General features: G+C 42.1%; 1 protein-coding gene across 18 annotated transcripts in view, besides 2 other annotated features; it reads right to left on the reverse strand.

The window, feature by feature from the left end:
- SPATA6L (spermatogenesis associated 6 like) overlaps positions 1 to 22,536 on the reverse strand; it is a 77,660-nt gene that overhangs the window by 8,545 nt on the left and 46,579 nt on the right. For 9 of the 18 annotated variants that reach the window (NM_001039395.4, NM_001353484.2, NM_001353486.2 and 6 more), the window contains 5 exons: positions 21,499 to 21,533; positions 20,558 to 20,745; positions 7,982 to 8,075; positions 6,814 to 6,904; positions 951 to 3,444 (listed from right to left, as the gene is read on the reverse strand). In NM_001039395.4, the coding sequence (NP_001034484.3) occupies positions 6,815 to 6,904; positions 7,982 to 8,075; positions 20,558 to 20,745; positions 21,499 to 21,533 (407 nt within the window). In that variant the 3' untranslated portion in view covers positions 951 to 3,444; position 6,814. Of the gene's footprint in view, positions 1 to 950; positions 3,445 to 6,801; positions 6,905 to 7,981; positions 8,076 to 20,037; positions 20,159 to 20,557; positions 20,746 to 21,498; positions 21,534 to 22,536 lie in introns of those variants that run through there. The other 9 variants (NM_001353485.2, NM_001353489.1, NM_001353487.1 and 6 more) reach the window with 5 other exon arrangements.
- Positions 8,129 to 9,328: an enhancer, noted in NCBI's record as "MED14-independent group 3 enhancer chr9:4605494-4606693 (GRCh37/hg19 assembly coordinates)". NCBI's record gives its function as "activates an origin of replication core promoter dependent on BRD2, BRD4, P300/CBP and CDK7 cofactors, and independent of MED14, by STARR-seq in HCT116 cells {active_cell/tissue: HCT116}" and the evidence as "EXISTENCE:reporter gene assay evidence [ECO:0000049][PMID:35650434]".
- Positions 8,742 to 9,319: an enhancer, noted in NCBI's record as "H3K27ac-H3K4me1 hESC enhancer chr9:4606107-4606684 (GRCh37/hg19 assembly coordinates)". NCBI's record gives its function as "activates a minimal SCP1, AML or CMV promoter by ChIP-STARR-seq in primed H9 embryonic stem cells {active_cell/tissue: H9 hESC(primed)}" and the evidence as "EXISTENCE:reporter gene assay evidence [ECO:0000049][PMID:30033119]".

A 22,536-nucleotide genomic window follows, 5' to 3' on the forward strand; every position in this document is an offset into this window, starting at 1 on the left:
ACACGGTGGGGCGTGGGGGGTGAGGTGGGCGGAGCTAATGGATCACTCTAAAAGACGCAGAATCCCAAGGAAAAATTTTGGACTAGAAACTCCTCATTTTGTTGAAGAAGCTCCATCAACTCAGCCATCAAGAAAAGGACCCATCTGCACCATGTAAAAGCTCCTGTCCTAGACATGACCCTGTTTTGACCAAATTCCCTATGTGAAATTAAGCATAGGTTCTTTCCTTTGATAAACAAAGTAACTTCATTGCCATAATTTGGTGCCCCTAGATTCAGTGTGGAGGATGGGGCTCCCAGGCCAAAGGAGCAAAGGGTTGGGGCTCTCATCACTGTTGGCAGGGTTCCCAGCACAAGGGAAGAGAGAAGAGGTCTCCCTAAGACCTGCAGGTCCGCTAAGTAGTGCTAGGAGGGGTCCCCTAACCAGAGAAAGACAGCAGTCCCATCCGGTGGTACTAGTGGGTTCTCTGGTCACAGCATGGACTACAGAGCATATCCTGTTCCTCAGGCTGCCCTCCAGAGAGCCCAGCGGGCTCCTTTGATGGACCAACTCAGGGGAGTACTGGCTATACTGAGAGTAGCCTGGCATTTGGGTGCTAGGGCTGAACTCACACACATACCCATCAGTCTTCTCAAATTACACCTAAAACCCGCCACCTCTTTTATGTCAAACATATCATTTGCACTCTCATTTTTTAAAAATCTCTTTTATAATTCATGGCCTACAGGCTTCAGCTAACTTTGGGTCAGTCAGGTGACCACAGAGAACTGGCCTCATTGTACAGCAGCTTTTGTTTGGAGGGCCTAGGTTCCACAAAGGAGATTTTCTTAGGAGCCTCTGCAAACCAAGACCCCATGAAACATGCCCATAAAATATGCTCCAGGCTTTGACAGATCTGCAACCATAAAAATCAAGAAAGGAATTATAAACTGAAGCAAGACAGATGGGAATTCTTTTTATGATGTTTAATGACACAGATCTTCCCAAAGTAATCCAAACCCCAAAACATCACAAAATTATTCATACTATTATACACTCCAAAAGCAAAATACTTCAACTGCAATCCTTGCCCCAGCATGATTCCTCAAAATTGAGATAACTCCTTGAGAAACAAAAGTAAAAATAATAATAATTTAAGGAATAGAGTTAATAGATGCAAAAGTAAAGGGAAAAAAAGCGTAATTTAGTGTGAAAACCAAAAATGACTTTAAATAAGAATGGGCATTTAAGATCTTATTAAAGAGTTATGCTTAAACCATTTCAAAAAACACTGAATATTGAATGTCATGGTGTATATTTTAACAATAACTGAAATGGGATACCAATTCATTAGTGCTGCTTTCCTTTAGCTGCTTACGTAAGCAGCCCTCTCCTGAGACTTATAGCGTAACCTTAATGTAACACAATATTTTCTTACTTTTGATGACTACTTAGAGGTAACATCAAAACAACAAATTGACAACCATAGTTTCAGAGAGACTGAGAACATATTAGCATATGTAATTTAAGCTTGCTGTTGGCCTTGCCAAGGTGGAATGCTGGTTGTGATACAGGTTGAGTCTCCCTTATCTTCAGTGCTTGGGACTGACCAGAAGTATTTTAAACTTGGGTTTTGGTTTTTGTTTTTGTATTTTGGAATATTTACATAAACACAATGAAGTATCTTCAGGATAGGGGATAGGACCCAAGTCTAAACACGAAATTCATTTACGTTTTATATACACTTTATACAGGTAGCCTGAAGGTAATTTTATACATGATTTTAAATAATTTGGAGCATGAAACAAAGTTTCGAATGCATTTGACTGCACCCTGCCACATGCAGTCAGATGTGGAATTTTTCACTTATGGTGTTATATTGGTGCTCAAAAAGTTTTGGATTTTGGAGCATTTCAGATTTCAGATTTTTAGATTGGGAGGTTCAACTTGGATATACCTTTATTTGGCTGAAATTCTAAGAAGAGGATAAATGAATTTTGTTTTGTTGTTTTTGTTTTTGGAGTTCCTTTTCTGTTTTAATTTTTAATTTCATTTTCTTAATTTACCTAATGAACCAATCCCTATGATTACAGTGAGAAAAGAAAACTTGGCTCTCACTGAATCTTCTAAAAACTGAACAAGTTTTAGGGTAGTGTCTTACTCTATTCAGGCTGCTATAACAAAATGTCATAAACTGGGTAGCTTACAAACTACAGGAATTCATTTCTCACAGTTCTGGAAGCTGGGAAGTCCAAGATCAGAATGTTGGCAGATGCAGAATCTGGTGAGGGCCCTCTTCCTGGGTCAGAGATGGCGCCTTCTCGCTGTCTCCTCGCCAGTGGAAGGGGCAAACGAGCTCCCTTGAGCCTATTTATAGGGCACTAATCTCATTTATGAGGGGTCCACCCTCACAACCTCATCACCTCCCAAAAGGCCCCATTTCCTTAGAGGTTAGGATTTCAACATACAAATGTTGAGGGGACACAAACATTCACACTATAGTAGGGCTGGTAGAGGAAAATGCTATGCTTACACTATGAAGGAGGGAAATAAGTTTCCATTTTCAGGCCCCTCTTCTCTGGGTCTGTATCAATGAAGACAAATGTGCCTCTAGTCTCCCTTTATCCCAGCCCCTTCCTATTCCTGCTCCCTCACACTGTGTAAGCATTTCATAGATGCACCTTCCTAACTAACTTTAAAACCTGGCATTGGCAGTCCTATCTGTAGAACCTATTTACTTAATGTGTAGTTCTTTTGGAGAAATATTTGAGGAAGGTTTTGTTCCTCATCTAAATTTACAAAGAATTGCTGGAACGAAGGAGTAGGAAACAGAAGGAGCAGTTTAAACTACGCTCCAGAGGAGCCAGCCTCCTCTTACAAATTTATCACAGACATTCAACATCTAAAACAAGATCTGAACTACCCAGACGTAATGCTCTCTTTTCCAAGGTTTTTAGTGGACTTCACGTAAATCAAGCCTAACACTAAGAAATAAACAAACAACAACAAAAACGGATCTACCGAAAAGAGAAAGTCAGGTTGATAGTCTTTCCTGGAGGATTTATCAGGTTATTCCTGTGAATAGCAACTTCCTCTAGCTCATATATAATTAATTTGAGAGAGAGAGACAGAGAGAGCCAGAGAGAGCCAGAGAGAGAGAGAGGGGAAGTGTTCAGATAAGCACCTGCCACCCAACTACAGCGCTTTCTCTTTCATGTTCAAAACAAACATGCAAAAACACAAATTTTCCAGCTTGACAAGAAAATGTTAGCCCCCAAACAGCAAACACTTTAATCAACAACTCTTACCTGGGCACAAAAGACTGAGTACAGGGTTTGGTTTAAAGGGGATTAGACATCAGTGACTCAACACAGACAACAAAAAGTGTTCATTTCTTTAAGGATGCTTCAATTGTCTCAGTGAGTGAGCTCTTCATGATTCTCCTTAAGCTTTCATTAATTTCCCCTGCAAAATTTGAAACATCACATTCTACATGTGGTATTGAGAAAAAGGCAAACAATCAATACAAGTAAGGAGAAAAAGATAATGTCATACTACCCCAATCTTGGCATGTAGCTATGCCTTGGGATCACTTAGTCTCTGAGCTTTTTCCCCAGATTCCCACAACAGAATAACCCAGTGAGCATCTGTGTGACCTTGGACAATTTACTTGACGTCTTTGTAAAATATCAGGATGATGACAGAGTATCTACCTCTTACTATTATAGTGAAGAGTTAGCATTGCTACATAGTAAATGTGCCAAAATAGGTGTTATTCAGTTGAGCTGTTAAACGTGTTCCAATTAACTATATTCTACTGAACAAATTTCCTTCCTTCCTTCCCTTCCCTCCTTCCTCCCTTCCTTCCTTCCCTCCCTCACTCCCTTCTTTCTTCCTTTCTTTCCTTTCTTTTTGATGGAGTCTTGCTCTGTAATTTGGCACTGCACACTGGGGGCCGGGATTTCACGGCAATTATGCCTTCCAAGAGAACTAGGGATAATCTGAGGGGTTTCTTTACGGGAGGTTTTTTTTTTTGTTTGGTTTTTTGGATGTTTGGTTTTTGTGTGGTAAAATTCACCAATTTTAAATATACAAGGGATACTCTGTTTATACCAAAAGTACCAAGTCCCAAAAGATCCAGAAATAGATGTATTCCAACCCCTTCAACCCATTTCTTCCACCCATTCTCTCCCTCTACGTGGTCAGACAATGGGACTCATTGTTTTTGGCTCAAGAATCCCTGACCTTTTTGTGGTAAGAATCTACTTTTTCATCTCCCTGAGATCTCGAGATCGCTGGGGAGCCAGGACCTGGCAGTGAAACAGATATGGAGAAGGGGAGGGACAGGAATTGGTGCTGCCATTAGAAGAGAGTCCTCAAGAAAAGCCGGGACTGGGACACGTAGTGGGAGCCACTGGGTTGTGTGTGGGGGATGCCTCCTGCCTGGGGTCTGTCCTCCCAACCCACAGGAGTGGCTCTGGCTGTCCTGTTCTAGCTATTTGATCTTGCCTGTTTGGATCTTTCCTGGACTCACTGAGATGGATGCTCAGCATCTTTCAAATAAATGCCCCGTTTGCTTAAGACTAGCCAGAGTCACTTGGGTTTTTCACAATCACTAAAGCTTCACTAAAATGACCCTCCAGGATCCCAGCCTCTCCAGGAATCCATGACTCAAGAAGCGGGGTCAGGGAGGATGGTATGGAGACTTCCAGAGAAGGTATTCTAAGCGTATGCCAAACTACTGGGTGGGAATTCCTGTTGTGTGGGAAACCTATTTTCCAAGAAAGAATTGACGTTTTTTTTTTTTCTTTTCTTACCTTCTCTCTATCCCCCCACATCAATGTCCACATATCAGCTGGTTCAGGGCTCTATGTAACTTGATATTACCCATGTTGAAATTCAATGTAATTTGGCATTTGATAATCATGTGGGCTATGTTCCGTATAACCACCTAAATAATTGCCTAGACGGCAATTATTTTGGTAACCAGAGAGTAAATGGCCCAGAATCCGTCCTTTAATCTAGCAAGCAGAACGTTCTAAGGTAGAAGCCTCCAGAATGGGCCATTACTGAGCTGTCCTGCACATTCCTCTGTGCTAAAGGTGGGGAGCCCTGGCCATTCCTAAGGCAAGCCAACTTGTTCTGTAAAGCATGCATGACCCTCAAAACAGACTTTCAGGAGCCTGACTACAGTGAAAACTTAGCAGGTCATCCCACACTCCTTTATTGTTTAGAAAGACGCATAATTATTCTGATCCTGCTGACATGAGGACTATACAGGACAAAGCTATAGGATCCTAGTGGGAGCCTTCCAAAGGCCAATGCCCACGAACTCTGCTTGGGTTCCAAAGGGCCCTCCTTCACACATGGGGAGACATGGATTTCCATGTAAGATTACACTCTAGCTTTGAAAATGCAATAGAATGTAGTGGTTAAGAGAATAAAGCTCCACCATTCACTAGCCATGTCACCTTGAGCAAGGGACCTAACCTATGCCTCAGTTTTCCTATCTGTAAGATGGAACTAATGATAGTACCTATCTCATTGGGTTGTCCTGAGAATTAGATATGAATTTGTTTAATACATGTGAAGTATGTGTACTAGTCTCAGCACTCAGGCCGCATGTCATAAGGAAGAGCGATTATTATTCTGGGCTTGAATGGAAAAGAAAAGAATATATGAGAAACGATGATGTCCCACAATGTGGCTAACTACTTGCCACAGATCTGAATTCTAGAGTTGCCTTGTTACATGCATTCATAATCAATGCATATTCAACATGCATTTATAAAAACTCTTTACTGCGACCGGGCACGGTGGCTCACGCCTGTAATACCAGCACTTTGGGAGGCTGAGGCAGGCAGATCACGAGGTCAGGAGTTTGAGACCAGGCTGACCAACATGGTGAAACCCCATCTCTACTAAAAATACAAAAATTAGCTGGGTGTGGTTGTGCACACCTGTAATCCCAGCTACTCAGGAGGCTGAGGCAGGAGAATCACTTGAACCTGGGGGGTGGAGGTTGCAGTGAACCAAGATTGCGCCATTGCACTCTAGCCTGGGTGACAGAGCTCCATGTCAAAACAAAAACAAAAACAAAAAAAACCCTCTTTACTGAGCAGCAACCATTGTGGAGGGTCAGGTGATACAGAGACAGCAGCAGGGTGGAGATGGGTAGGCAGGTTCTTGTTCAGTGCACACACCTAGTACATGTGTTTGCAAAGTTAAATGTGATTCCATTGTATGGCACTAAATACTGCGTATAAAGCAGTGAACAACAGAGACAGATTCTCTGATCTCATAAGGTTTCACTCCAGTAGAAGAGACAGATTTTAAACAATCAGCCCAGATAAAAATATAATAAGAAATTGTGTCATAATTTATGAAGGAAAAATGCTGTGTACTAAAGGGTACACATCACAGAGAGAGGGAGTGTCGTGTCATAGAAAATCATAAGCCTGGAAGGACAAATAGAAGTTATCCAGGCAGAGTCAGGAAGACATATTCCAGATGGAGAAAACAACATGTGCAGAGACCCCATGGCAGGAAAAAGCTCCGTGTTCAAGAAGCTGAAAGAAGGCCGGAAAGTCTATTAGATAAAGGGTGATGTTGCGGGCAGGGGAGATGATTACAAGAGGAAGCAAGAGAGCTGGAAGGCACGTGCACTGCAGTTATCATACAGAGCAAGGGAAGAACGCAGTTCTCAGGTCTCCTCCAAGTCTCCTGTCCTCCACACTTTCTAGTTACTTCATATTGATAGGAGGAAACTGAAATTCTTTTAGCAAACCAAGATAAGGAGAAGCACTTAAGCTGCTTACTTACATAAGACAGTACCTTAAAAATATCTCTGTTCATGCAGTGAGTATTTCTTCAGAGGGTAGCTTGGTCTTTCAATGATATAATTTACTTCAGAGGTAGAATCTTCCTACAATAAAAACAAATCCAGCAATTATGTTACCCATAACATAATAGAGATGGATGATACCCAGATGTGTAGTTTTGCATGTAGGAGGTCTGTGCATCCCATTTATGCCGTTATATGGGGTTCACTATATATGTGTGTATATAGAATCTTTCTTTTTTTGTAGAGACGAGGTCTCATTATGTTGCCAGGCTGGTCTTGAACCTCCTGGCCTCAAGGGATTCTCCCTCCTCAGCCTCCCAAAGTACTAGGATTATAGATTTGAGCCCCAAACCAGGCCTTTGTTTACATTTTAAAGAGATTCCTTGCCTGAAAAGGTTGGGAATTAAAGCAAAGCCAATGACTTTGCAGAAAAGAATTAAAGTAATTCACTACCCTGATGGTTAGGGCAAACAACATTTAGTTTTAAGTGTCATCCTGCAAATCTAGCATATGTCAGTATATAATAAGTCAAGAGGACTAATTCAACTACATGGCATCATTAAATTCAGCCACTGGGGGCACTGTTGTCCTATATTTGAATTCTTTGAGCAGGTGAACTGCCACTTAGCTGTGTATCTGAATCAGTGACAAAGTACTGGGAATACCTACCAATGGATCAGAAGCACTCCCCATACCCCTGTAAAAGTCATACAGCCAAAACCACCTTATTAAATTCTAGAACAACTTTCTTCCATGTTGTGGCCTTACATAGCTCACACAAACAACTGTATTCTTCCCTGGACTGGGATTCATGTGTGCAGGGGAAAGGAATGCTCTGTGGGCCACTTAGCCTGTCTTCTCTCAGTCCTTTGAAAGGACCTCTGCTTGATGAGTGCTGTGCACCAAATTAGCTGCTACTCCTCCGTTGGATCCAAGCCCCACTGTCTCATCCTCAGGAAGCCAGCCCTGACTCCCAGCCATGTCAAATACCCGCTACCATTCAATCTCAGGACAACAGGTAATCTCCTTGGTAAGCCTCACAATTTTCCACTTATTTCTGTGGTTATTTGATTAATGTCTGTCTCCCCGACTAGACTGTAGGTCCCTGTTCACATATTATTTAGTGAGCAAAGATCTAGTTTTATAAGAAAGTCTAACCTTGTTTTGGTGCAGCTGTGCTCTGTGGGATGTCAGAAGACTGCATACCCTCTCATGGATATTCTTCCATGTGGACTGAGAACCAGGATGGAACCTGCTCAACAGATGGAACAGGGTGGAATATTAAGCAGCTACTAAAAAGGACACTTAAAGCACATGACGGTATGGATTGATATTTAAAACTTAATTATAATAAAAAACAGCAGCATGCAAAATGGTAAACATAGTGTGATTTCAATGTCTTTCTTAAACCTACCCATAGGAAAAGCACTGGGGAATAAAAACTGCTCAGATGTTAAGAATTTTTTGTGTTTCTATGTGTGGCTATGAGTGATTCTTTTCTTCTTTGTACTTTCCTGTGTTTTTCAGATATTTCTCTCATGAACAAACCCTACTTTTACATTTAAAATTTTAATCTAAAACTTTTTAATATAAAATTTAAATCCGGTTTTCGGGGAGAGCCAAGATGGCCGAATAGGAACAGCTCCGGTCTCCAGCTCCCAGCGTGAGCGACGCAGAGGACGGGTGATTTCTGCATTTCCATCTGAGGTAGCGGGTTCATCTCACTAGGGAGTGCCAGACAGTGGGCGCAGGCCAGTGTGTGCGCGCACCGTGCGCGAGCCGAAGCAGGGCGAGGCATTGCCTCACTCGGGAAGCGCAAGGGGTCAGGCAGTTCCCTTTCCGAGTCAAAGAAAGGGGTGACAGATGGCACCTGGAAAATCGGGTCACTCCCACCCAAATACTGCGCTTTTCCTACGGGCTTAAAAAATGGCGCACCACCCACCTGGCTCGGAGGGTCCTACGCCCACGGAGTCTCGCTGATTGCTAGCACAGCAGTCTGAGATCAAACTGCAAGGCGGCAGCGAGGCTGGGGGAGGGGCGCCCGCCATTGCCCAGGCTTGCTGAGGTAAACAAAGCAGCCGGAAGCTCCAACTGGGTGGAGCCCACCACAGCTCAAGGAGGCCTGCCTGCCTCTGTAGGCGCCACGTCTGGGGGCAGGGCACAGACAAACAAAAAGACAGCAGTAACCTCTGCAGACTTAAATGTCCCTGTCTGACAGCTTTGAAGAGAGCAGTGGTTCTCCCAGTACGCAGCTGGAGATCTGAGAAGGGGCAGACTGCGTCCTCAAGTGGGTGCCTGACCCCTGACCCCCGAGCAGCCTAACTGGGAGGCACCCCCCAGCAGGGGCACACTGACACCTCACACGGCCGGGTACTCCAACAGACCTGCAGCTGAGGGTCCTGTTAGAAGGAAAACTAACAAACAGAAAGGACATCCACACCAAAAACCCATCTGTACATCACCATCATCAAAGACCAAAAGTAGATAAAACCACAAAGATGGGGAAAAAACAGAACAGAAAAACTGGAAACTCTAAAAAGCAGAGCGCCTCTCCTCCTCCAAAGGAATGCAGTTCCTCACCAGCAATGGAACAAAGCTGGACGGAGAACGACTTCGACGAGCTGAGAGAAGAAGGCTTCAGACGATCAAATTACTCTGAGCTACGGGAGGACATTCAAACCAAAGGCAAAGAAGCTGAAAACTTTGAAAAAAATTTAGAAGAATGTATAACTAGAATAATCAATACAGAGAAGTGCTTAAAGGAGCTGATGGAGCTGAAAACCAAGGCTCAAGAACTACGTGAAGAATGCAGAAGCCTCAGGAGCCGATGCAATCAACTGGAAGAAAGGGTATCAGCGATGGAAGATGAAATGAATGAAATGAAGCGAGAAGGGAAGTTTAGAGAAAAAAGAATAAAAATAAATGAGCAAAGCCTCCAAGAAATATGGGACTATGTGAAAAGACCAAATCTACGTCTGATTGGTATACCTGAAAGTGACGGGGAGAATGGAACCAAGTTGGAAAACACTCTGCAGGATATTATCCAGGAGAACTTCCCCAATCTAGCAAGGCAGGCCAACATTCAGATTCAGGAAATACAGAGAATGCCACAAAGATACTCCTCGAGAAGAGCAACTCCAACACACATAATTGTCAGATTCACCAAAGTTGAAATGAAGGAAAAAATGTTAAGGGCAGCCAGAGAGAAAGGTCGGGTTACCCTCAAAGGGAAGCCCATCAGACTAACAGCGGATCTCTTGGCAGAAACCCTACAAGCCAGAAGAGAGTGGGGGCCAATATTCCACATTCTTAAAGAAAAGAATTTTCAACCCAGAATGTCATATCCAGCCAAACTAAGCTTCATAAGTGAAGGAGAAATAAAATACTTTACAGACAAGCAAATGCTCAGAGATTTTGTCACCACCAGGCCTGCCCTAAAAGAGCTCCTGAAGGAAGCGCTAAACATGGAAAGGAACAACCGGTACCAGCCGCTGCAAAATCATGCCAAAATGTAAAGACCGTCGAGACTAGGAAGAAACTGCATCAACTAACGAGCAAAATAACCAGCTAACATCATCATGACAGGATCAAATTCACACATAACAATATTAATTTTAAATGTAAATGGACTAAATGCTCCAATTAAAAGACACAGACTGGCAAATTGGATAAAGAGTCAAGACCCATCAGTGTGCTGTATTCAGGAAACCCATCTCACGTGCAGAGACACACATAGGCTCAAAATAAAAGGATGGAGGAAGATCTATCAAGCAAATGGAAAACAAAAAAAGGCAGGGGTTGCAATCCTAGTCTCGGATAAAACAGACTTTAAACCAATAAAGATCAAAAGAGACAAAGAAGGCCATTACATAATGGTAAAGGGATCAATTCAACAAGAAGAGCTAACTATCCTAAATATATATGCACCCAATACAGGAGCACCCAGATTCATAAAGCAAGTCCTGAGTGACCTACAAAGAGACTTAGACTCCCACACATTAATAATGGGAGACTTTAACACCCCACTGTCAACATTAGACAGATCAACAAGACAGAAAGTCAACAAGGATACCCAGGAATTGAACTCAGCTCTGCACCAAGCGGACCTAATAGACATCTACAGAACTCTCCACCCCAAATCAACAGAATATACATTTTTTTCAGCACCACACCACACCTATTCCAAAATTGACCACATACTTGGAAGTAAAGCTCTCCTCAGCAAATGTAAAAGAACAGAAATTATAACAAACTATCTCTCAGACCACAGTGCAATCAAACTAGAACTCAGGATTAAGAATCTCACTCAAAACCACTCAACTACATGGAAACTGAACAACCTGCTCCTGAATGACTACTGGGTACATAACGAAATGAAGGCAGAAATAAAGATGTTCTTTGAAACCAACGAGAACAAAGACACAACATACCAGAATCTCTGGGATACATTCAAAGCAGTGTGTAGAGGGAAATTTATAGCACTAAATGCCCACAAGAGAAAGCAGGAAAGATCCAAAATTGACACTCTAACATCACAATTAAAAGAACTAGAAAAGCAAGAGCAAACACATCCAAAAGCTAGCAGAAGGCAAGAAATAACTAAAATCAGAGCAGAACTGAAGGAAATAGAGACACAAAAAACCCTTCAAAAAATTAATGAATCCAGGATCTGGTTTTTTGAAAGGATCAACAAAATAGATAGACCACTAGCAAGACTAATAAAGAAAAAAAGAGAGAAGAATCAAATAGACGCAATATAAAATGATAAAGGGGATATCACCACCGATCCCACAGAAATACAAACTACCATCAGAGAATACTACAAACACCTCTACGCAAATAAACTACAAAATCTAGAAGAAATGGATAAATTCCTCGACACATACGCTCTCCCAAGACTAAACCAGGAAGAAGTTGAATCTCTGAATAGACCAATAACAGGATCTGAAATTGTGGCAATAATCAATAGCTTACCAACCAAAAAGAGTCCACGACCAGATGGATTCACAGCCGAATTCTACCAGAGGTACAAGGAGGAACTGGTACCATTCCTTCTGAAACTATTCCAATCAATAGAAAAAGAGGGAATCCTCCCTAACTCATTTTATGAGGCCAGCATCATTCTGATACCAAAGCCTGGCAGAGACACAACCAAAAAAGAGAATTTTAGACCAATATCCTTGATGAACATTGATGCAAAATTCCCCAAAAAATACTGGCAAAACGAATCCAGCAGCACATCAAAAAGCTTAACCACCATGATCAAGTGGGCTTCATCCCTGGGATGCAAGGCTAGTTCAATATACGCAAATCAATAAATGTAATCCAGCATATAAACAGAACCAAAGACAAAAACCACATGATTATCTCAATAGATGCAGAAAAGGCCTTTGACAAAATTCAACAACACTTCATGCTAAAAACTCTCAATAAATTAGGTATTGATGGGACGTATTTCAAAATAATAAGAGCTATCTGTGACAAACCCAAAGCCAATATCATACTGAATGGGCAAAAACTGGAAGCATTCCCTTTGAAAACTGGCACAAGACAGGGATGCCCTCTCTCACCACTCCTATTCAACATAGTGTTGGAAGTTCTGGCCAGGGCAATTAGGCAGGAGAAGGAAATAAAGGGTATTCAATTGGGAAAAGAAGAAGTCAAATTGTCCCTGTTTGCAGACGACATGATTGTGTGTGCAGAAAACCCCATTGTCTCAGCCCAAAATCTCCTTAAGCTGATAAGCAACTTCAGCAAAGTCTCAGGATACAAAATCAATGTACAAAAATCACAAGTATTCTTATACACCAACAACAGACAAACAGAGAGCCAAATCATGAGTGAACTCCCATTCACAATTGCTTCAAAGAGAATAAAATACCTAGGAATCCAACTTACAAGGGATGTGAAGGACCTCTTCAAGGAGAAGTATAAACCACTGCTCAATGAAATAAAAGAGGATACAAACAAATGGAAGAACATTCCATGCTCATGGGTAGGAAGACTCAATATCGTGAAAATGGCCATACTGCCCAAGGTAATTTACAGATTCAATGCCATCCCCATCAAGCTACCAATGACTTTCTTCACAGAATTGGAAAAAACTACTTTAAAGTTCATATGGAACCAAAAAACAGCCCGCATCGCCAAGTCAATCCTAAGCCAAAAGAACAAAGCTGGAGGCATCACACTACCTGACTTCAAACTATACTACAAGGCTACAGTAACCAAAACAGCATGGTACTGGTACCAAAACAGAGATATAGATCAATGGAACAGAACAGAGCCCTCAGAAATAATGCCGCATATCTACAACTATCTGATCTTTGACAAACCTGAGAAAAACAAGCAATGGGGAAAGGATTCCCTATTTAATAAATGGTGCTGGGAAAACTGGCTAGCCATATGTAGAAAGCTGAAACTGGATCCCTTCCTTACACCTTATACAAAAATCAATTCCAGATGGATTAAAGAATTAAATGTTAGACCTAAAACCATAAAAACCCTAGAAGAAAACCTAGGCAATACCATTCAGGACATAGGCATGGGCAAGGACTTCATGTCTAAAACACCAAAAGCAATGGCAACAAAAGCCAAAATTGACAAATGGGATCTAATTCAACTAAACAGCTTCTGCACAGCAAAAGAAACTACCATCAGAGTGAACAGGCAACCTACAAAATGGGAGAAAATTTTTGCAACCTACTCATCTGACAAAGGGCTAATATCCAGAATCTACAATGAACTCAAACAAATTTACAAGAAAAAAACAAACAACCCCATCAAAAAGTGGGCAAAGGACATGAACAGACACTTCTCAAAAGAAGACATTTATGCAGCCAAAAAACACATGAAAAAATGCTCATCATCACTGGCCATCAGAGAAATGCAAATCAAAACCACATTGAGATACCATCTCACACCAGTTAGAATGGCAATCATTAAAAAGTCAGGAAACAACAGGTGCTAGAGAGGATGTGGAGAAATAGGAACACTTTTACACTGTTGGTGGGACTGTAAACTAGTTCAACCATTGTGGAAGTCAGTGTGGCGATTCCTCAGGGATCTAGAACTAGAAATACCATTTGACCCAGCCATCCCATTACTGGGTATATACCCAAAGGACTATAAATCATGCTGCTATAAAGACACATGCACACCTATGTTTATTGCGGCACTACTCACAATAGCAAAGACTCGGAACCAACCCAAATGTCCAAGAATGATAGACTGGATTAAGAAAATGTGGCACATATATACCACGGAATACTATGCAGCCATAAAAAATGATGAGTTCATGTCCTTTGTAGGGACACGGATGAAATTGGAAATCACCATTCTCAGTAAACTATCGCAAGAACAAAAAACCAAACACCGCATATTCTCACTCATAGGTGGGAATTGAACAATGAGATCACATGGACACAGGAAGGGGAACATCACACTCTGGGGACTGTTGTGGGGTGGGGGGAGGGGGGAGGGATAGCAGTGGGAGATACACCTAATGCTAGATGACGAGTTAGTGGGTGCAGCGCACCAGCGTGGCACATGTATACATATGTAACTAACCTGCACAATGTGCACATGTACCCTAAAACTTAAAGTATAATAATAAAAGAAAAAAAAATTTTTAATCCAAAAAATTTTAATATAAAATTTAATCCCAGTAGTTGTTGTTTCACGGAGAGATTATCACCCAGGCTAACGTACAACTGCATGATCATAGCTCACTGCAACCTTGAACTCTTGGACTCAAGCAATCCTCCAACTTCAGCCTCCCAGGTAGAGAGGACCAACTAGGTACATGTTGCCATGCCTGGCTATTTTTTTTTTTCCTTAAGAGATAGGGTCTTGCTACCCAGGCTGGTCTCGAACTCCTGGGCTCAAGGGATCCTTCCACCTCAATCTCCCAAAGAGCTGGGACTACAGGTATGCACCACCATGCAGAGCTCACTTTCAAATATTTTGTAGAGACAGGGTCTCCCCATGCTGTCCAGGCTGGTCTCAAACTTTTGTACTCAGTGATCCTCCTGCCTCAGCCTCCCAAAGTGCTGGGATTACAGGTGTGAGCCACTACACCCAGCCTCCAATCCTGGTTGTTTCCTACCACCAGGACTTTATCTTATATCTCATTTACTTTAGGCCACCCAGACTCCAAACTGAACCATAGGTTTGACAGTCTCTTTCAGTTCCCCAAACATAGAGCATTTTCTACCTTCCATAGGCATTTGGCAACACTGTTCTCTCTTCTACCTCCCAACCCCAGGGGCTCACTACTCTTATTAACTCCTACCCACCCTTCAGAGTTCAGTTCAATTGTTGAGTTCTCAGCAAAGTCCTTTCTGAGCCCTCTCCTGTAGAGGAGGTCAGCTGCTCTGTTATACGGACTTGCAGTTTCATTTATCTATACCTCATTAATACCATTTGCACCACTGGACATTTTGTCATTATTTGGTTAATGGCGGTCTTTACTCCTAGAGTGAAATTGAGCTGAGACTCTTTGTTTAATAGCTCATCCCAGGGCAGAGTAGGAACTGAATAGCACAGTAAGTAGCTAATAAATATTTCTTGAGTGATTGAATTCATTCTCTCGTTCATTCATTCATTCATTCATCCATCCATTAATATTCAGGAGGGGGATGGTTACCAAATCCTAAAGTCTGAGGTATAACTAAGCTGAAAGTGTACATAGCAATTTGATAATGAAAGGCACAGATACAGTTTTCTAAAAACACCCAAAGAATTATAGCCACTTGGGGCCAGGCGCAGTGGCTCACACCTATAATCCCAGCACTTTGGAAGGCTGAGGCGGGCGGATCTCTTGAGGCCAAGAGTTCCAGACCAGCCTGGCTAAAGTAGTGAAACCCCATCTCTACTAAAATACAAAAAATTAGCCAGGTGTGGTGGTGGTACATCTGTAGTCCCAGATACCAGGAGGCTGAGGCATGAAAATTGCTTGAACCTGGGAGGTGGAGGTTGTAGTGAGCTGAGATGGGGCCACTGTACTCCAGCCTGGGTAACATAGCAAGATTCTATCTCAAAAAAAAAAAAGAAAGAAAGAAAGAAAGAAAATGATTCTCTTTAATTAATGTATGGTAAACACTGGAAATGACAGGAACATCTGGAAATCCAGTTGTTACTATGGCTACCATATGAATGACCTCCCTGTGCAGTTGCCCCTCTGCTTGGCTGGTTCCGGCCCACATCCAGGCCTCCACTCCAGCTCTCTCTGTGACAAGCATGTCCCACTGGTTTTTCCAGGGAGATAAGACCAACAGTATGAATGGATCTACACAAATCCATTGCCAACCCAAGAAAACAACTCATAGTAAATGGAAGCACCACCTAAAGCACTGCCCATGTTTAAGACTACAAACATTATTTCTATTCTTCTCTAAGAACTTTTTTTTTTTGACCCAGAGTCTCATTCTGTTGCCCATGCTGGAGTGCAGTGGCGCTACCTCCGCTCACTGCAACCTCTGCCTCCTATGTTCAAGCAATTCTCCTGCCTCAACCTCCCAAGTAGCTGAGACTACAGGTATAAGCCACCAAGCCCAGCGAATTTTTGTATTTTTCGTAGAGACGGGGTTTTGCCTTGTTGGCCAGGCTGGTCTTGAATTCCTGACCTCAAGTGATCCACCCACCTCGCTTCCCAAAGTGCAGGGATTCCAGGTGTGAGCCACCACGCTTGGCCCTTCTCTAAGAATGTTTAGGAGGAAGGAATAGAAATATGTTGAAGCTATAAATGAAGCTAGCATTTAAAAACAGCCACCAGCTAGATACTGTAAATTCTTTTTCATAGGTCTAGAGTAACCAATACCAAAGCGACTCTTTCATTTGTTACCATTATTGTTACATGCAATTTATTTTACATTTGAAGATCTCAGAGAATGATGAGTCAACAGATGGGAGCAGCGCTGTGCCTTTACCACAGCCTTCTCCATGGGATCTACCTTCTCCTCGAGTCATGTGGAGAGAGAGGATGTGCTGAAGGGGCATGACGCTATTCAGATGGTGGATACAGGGAACAGGCTTGGCAGTGTTTCTCCCTCCTTTAGTACTCCCATTGTTCACTCTTATAATGTGTTTTCTACCTTGTCCATTAAAACCTTGGGTTGACTCTCATTCCAAAATTTGTCTCCCAACTCATCCTTATGACCTTGATCCTTACTGACTTCAGTATTAAGTTAGCAGAAAAGCAACAGGGATTCTCATGCACCCTTGTGAACTGGACACAGAGAAAGAGTGGTCCTGATATTGCTGGTATGAAAAGAACACTGAGTGAGTGGAGACACAGTGCTGACAACCCCCAGTGTCCCAGGAATCTGCCCTAGTGATCGCTCTAAAGCCAACGGGCAATGTGTTCTGCAAGGATATGAAGGGCACATCCCTCATTCAAAAGAACTGTTTTTAAAATATTATCTTCAGAGCCACTTCTCTAGTGTGAAGGTGACCAGCTGTCTTGGTTTACCTGGGACTCAGGGGTTTCCCAGGATGCAAACTTTTGGTACTGAAACCAGGACAGCCATGGGCAAACTGGATGGCCTTTCTGTGGCTGTGTTATTATTTGCCGCTGATAATCATGGCCTTATTTACAAACTCATAGTCCAACTAGGTCCCAAGTTACCAGTTTAGAGAGACTTTGGGCACAAAGAATTTGCTGCCTCATCAGAGATGGCCAATAAAACTCTGGTCTGCAGCTAAGACTCATCTTTCTAAAGTCACTTGTGCCAACTCCTGTGACTAATGTCACAGAGCTCCTCACTCCTTCCAAGCAAAGCCCAAGCTCCTTAGGTCAGCCAACAAAGGTCCCCCTCAAACCTTTGAGTCCTGGCACTGACTTTCTCCCAAACTCCTCTAACTGCTGGAAGCTGACAGTGCCCCTGCCTCCCACCTGCCATCACTCACCTCTATGAACCCCATCATAAACCAATCTTCTCTCCTCAAGGCCACATGAAAGCATCACCTCCTCCATGAAACATTCCAGAAGTACCACCCTTCTTCTTTATACTCCAGTAACTTTTGTTCCACACTATTCACAAAGTGCTGCTTTGTAGAAAGCTCTTTGCATACTTCTTTTTTATTATTTTTTTTATATCCTCTGCTAGGTTGCAAGTTTTCAGAGATCAGGAGAAATGTCTTAAATGTTAGTGTTCCCATTGCTGGCCTAGCAGATTGAGTATCATTCCTGCTTTCCGTCTTAACCACAGATTTAACGTGCTCCCCGCCCACATACTCAATTCCAATCCCAGTTGATTTTGACTCAGTAAACATGAGGCAATTCTTCCGTTGGCCAGAGTTGAGAATTGCTGGCCTGCTGCATAAAGACACTCAGGAAAGGCTGGCTGAATGAATGCATAAACCATCTAACACATATTTAAAGAGAAAAGAGGACTTCTCAGGTCTCTCTCCTGATGTAACTGATTTCCTCTCACTCTGTCTCTCCCCTGCATTTGGATTGTACTTCTGTTAGGTACCTACCACAATCTATCTCATATTCAGTGACAAGGGGGTATGTCTGCCTTCCTGTCTAGTATGTGAGCCAGTGGAAAGCAGAGACATGTCATGATGGTGTCCATTGCCCCCAACAGTTGCCCAATAACAGCATGCTCAATACAGTCTCTCAGAAAAGCTTGCTGTACTGCTTTTAAGGAGTTTGGGAGGTGTTATAGATACCAGGCACAGAGACAAAAACCACGGGTTTTCCCCAGTTCTGGTGGCTGAGAAGCACTTTGTGGCTGTATGCAGATGGATCTTTGATCATCAAACCCATTTTAAAGATGAGGAAACTGAGGTTTAAAAGGTTGAAGCCAGGCACGGTGGCTCATGCCTGTACCCAGCACTTTGGGAGGCCAAGACAATTGCTTGAGCCCAGGAGTTTGAGAAGAGCCTGGGCAACACAGTGAGACCCCATCTTTACAAAAATAAAAATATGAAAATTAGCCGGGCATGCCGGTGCGCACCTGCAGTCCCAGTTACTCAGGAGGCTGAGGCAGGAGGATTGCTTGGGTTGGGGAGGTCAAGGCTGCAGTAAGCTGTGATTGTGCCACTGCACTCCAGCCTGGGTGACAAAGCAAGACCCCATCTCGAAAAAAAATAATAATAATTAATTTAAAAAAATAGGTGGAGTAGCTGTGTGAAATCACCCAGCACTTAGAGACACATGAGCGCTAGAGCCCATGTCTCCTGACCACTGTTAATTGAAAGTTCTTTCCGTTCTTCATTTAAAATCAATCCTCTACAAGTCTTTAAATCCAGGATGACCTCCTGTGCTTTGCCAGCCTGCTGAATTCCAGGCTGGTGGCAAAAGCATAAGACAGGAGGGGACAGAGGCCAGGCATAGAGAGGTGTAAGTGTGTCTCTGACCACTTGTCTCTGTGTGCCAGAGCCAGTTTTTTGTTTGTTTGTTTGTTTTAAACGGAATTGCGCTCTTGTTGCCCAGGCTGGAATGCAATGGCACGATCTCAGCTCACCCCAACCTCCGCCTCCCGGGTTCAAGCAATTCTCCTGCCTCAGCCTCCCGAGTAGCTGGGATTACAGGCATGCGCCACTATGCCCGGCTAATTTTGTATTTTTAGTAGAGACAGGGTTTCTCCATGTTGGTCAGGCTGGTCTCAAACTCCAGACCTCAGGTGATCCACCCACCTTGGCCTCCCAAACTGCTGGGATTATAGGCATGAGCCACCGTGCCCAGCCGGAGCCAGTTTTTTAAAAATCTATGTTGTATTATTTTCTTCTAATAAAGTAACTAATCAAAAGCTCGTCATACGTTAATGGATTTTATTAAAATATTTGATCTGGCTTCCTCAAATCCATGATTTAACATTTGAATATAGAGTTATTATGTCATTTCTGAAAAACACTAAGAAGGGATTGCCACTTTCTTAGTCTACCTCAAAGTTAATATAATTCCTGTAAAAATTTCAGGGCCACTGTGGTTCTGGGATATATTTACTCTGAGTCCCTTTGAGAGCAATTGCGTTATTTTGGTACGTGGAGTTTGCTTCTTATTCTCGTCACTAATAATGCAGAGAAAAGCAGATTGGCTTATCCTTCATTCAGAACAATGATCTTATAAATATTATTTTCAGTGCCACTTCCCCGAAGTTAAAGTAACCAACTGTCCTGGTTTGCCTAAGATTCAAGGGTTTCCCAGAATGCAGGACTTTCAGGTCTAAAATCAGGCAGACCCAAGCAAACCAGTGGTTACTTACCCTACTAGAGAGTGCTGTTTGGCAAATAAAGGTTTCTGCTTTTGCTCTCTGGCCTGCTCTCCAGACATATGCAAATGTATTTTCATTGTTTGTGAAAATAATGTAAGCAAAGAAATCATGTCTAGAAAAAGAATATATGCCCATATGTTAACATTTGTCTTTGAGTGGTAGGACTATAGGTAATTTTTTTCCACTTTTTTTTCTGTAATTTTCAAACTTTCTGTGGTGAACATTTTTATACTGGTAAAATGAAAAGGTTTAGTTTTTAAATTTATGACAAATAAAAATGGGTAGATAAATAGTACCTATGTCAAAGTTAGTTGTCTATCCCATTTACAGCAAATATTCTGAGATATGCCTCTGACTTTTGGGTAGATTTTAAAAGAAATAATCATTTTTTCATATCAAGGTGTCACCAGCTGAATATTCCTAAGAAAGGAAGCTGGTGAAATGACCCAGCTTTACCCCTGCCAGGCCACAATGCACTCGTCAGGCAAACAGATGGGTGCTTGCCACTGACCTTTCTCTGAGAAGGGGCTGATCCAAGGGGCCAGGAGAGGTGGAATGCTGGTAGGTGGCAAATGAAGCTTTCCCGTGGAAATCAGCATCCCCTTGTTTACTGGATGAAGACTTTCCAAACTGACTTGAATCTAAACATGATGATGAGTCACTCCTTAAAACAATCCGTTCATCTGGCTCTTTGATAACCTGAGTGACAATATGCATTATTTAGTTGTAATTTTGCTTCTGTTTGCTTAATTTAGAGCTGGGGGTGGGGGTTGGACAAGGAAGATAACTCGGGCTAAGATGACAGAATATTTGCCCCAGGGATCTCCTGCAAATAGAAGAGGATCTGGAGAAGAGAAGACTAGTGACAAAATGCTCAGGAGTTCAGACTGATAAAAATAACCAAAAGTCTGTATGTTTGGGATATATTAAAAAACCAAAATAAACTCATGCTCTGAACTTTGATTTCTGAGGACTAGGGATTATTGGTCTGGGAAAAATGTAACTTTAACAAAATATTTAAGCGCTATGGCATAAGAAGCATAGTATATTCCATTTTCTTTGCATAAATCTATTCTCATGTTGTTACATAGAAGTTTGAGCCTTCACTTTGACAAACCAATCAAACTTCAAGAACAAGTGATTTACCACCTCTATGTATAAAATTATTTGATTAGAGAAAAAGCAATGAAAATCACTACCAATAAAGTAGGTATTGGGTCTACATACACCCTCCTTGGTGATTCATCCTACTTATATGAGGGGCACAAACCAACTAACCCCTAAGCAAAGTATAACATGGAGTCTGGGCACATCTTCATACAAACACTAAACTACAGCAATTCCACCTAAGCAGACTAACTAGAAATATCCACCACTGATTGGAAAAAGCACAATAATTGACATAAGATATCTGGAAGTAAATCATTTTACAAATTCTACTTCTAAAATTACCTTTACGTTAGCTGCAAGGCTGTCAAGAGAAGAAGCTAGAAGAAAGAGGAACAGGCATTTCAATGACTCATTATTACCATTTAGCCTTAAAACTGCCATTATATTTATTCTACAGCAGTACAAAAATTTTAGACAATGAATTAATTATTTAAAAACTTAAATGCTCCCTTGTAAGTTACACTATCACTTTTAAGTCTCCCTTGAGCCACTTCAATTCTCCGGGTTGTGGGGGTTTTTTGCTTTGTTTTGTTTTTTGTTTTTGTCTTTTTGAGGTCAACAGTCAGGTTTTCTCTTTTTTTTTTTTTTTTTTTTGAGATGGAGTCTCACACTGTCGCCCAGGCTGGAGTGCAATGGCACAATCTCGGCTCACTGCAATCTCCGCCTCCCAGGTTCAAGAGATTCTCTGCCTCAGCCTCCCGAGTAGCTGGGATTACAGATGCCCGCCACCATGCCCGGCCAATTTTTTGTATTTTTAGTAGAAATGGGGTTTCACTACGTTGGCAAGGCTGGTCTCGAACTCCTGACCTCAGGTGACCCACCCGCCTCAGCCTCCCAAAGTCCTGGGATTACAGGTGTAAGCCTCTGGACGTTTTGTTTTCAATGACAGCACATGTGGAAGGGAGAAGGGTAAAGCAAGTCTAAAGTGAATGAGTAAGTTCAATAACCCTTAAGCAGCCTGAAAAACTCATATTTGAGCAGGCGCCCAGAACCTAAAAGAAAGTACTGTGTGTCTAATATAAAATTTATAAACTCTGTCTCCTCTGACATTTTCTTTGGTTTTCATGGAATCCCATTTATGCAGGAGCTCTTGAATATATTTGTCCAAGGTAGACACAAATGTTAAATTGAGACAACAAATATGTAAAAGCTTGGAGAAATATAGAACATAGCAAAAATGGAAATCACTATCATGACCATAAATGATCATGATAGGCAAGCAGACCTAATGCCGAAGTATGGCAAGGATGACTAGGAAATGAGGTAATAAAGACACAGAGAGAAAGTGAAGACTAGGTTGGATTTTTCCAGGTTGATTAA

This window comes from Homo sapiens, chromosome 9, assembly GCF_000001405.40.
Source record: "Homo sapiens chromosome 9, GRCh38.p14 Primary Assembly".
Taxonomy (NCBI): Eukaryota; Metazoa; Chordata; class Mammalia; order Primates; family Hominidae; genus Homo; species Homo sapiens.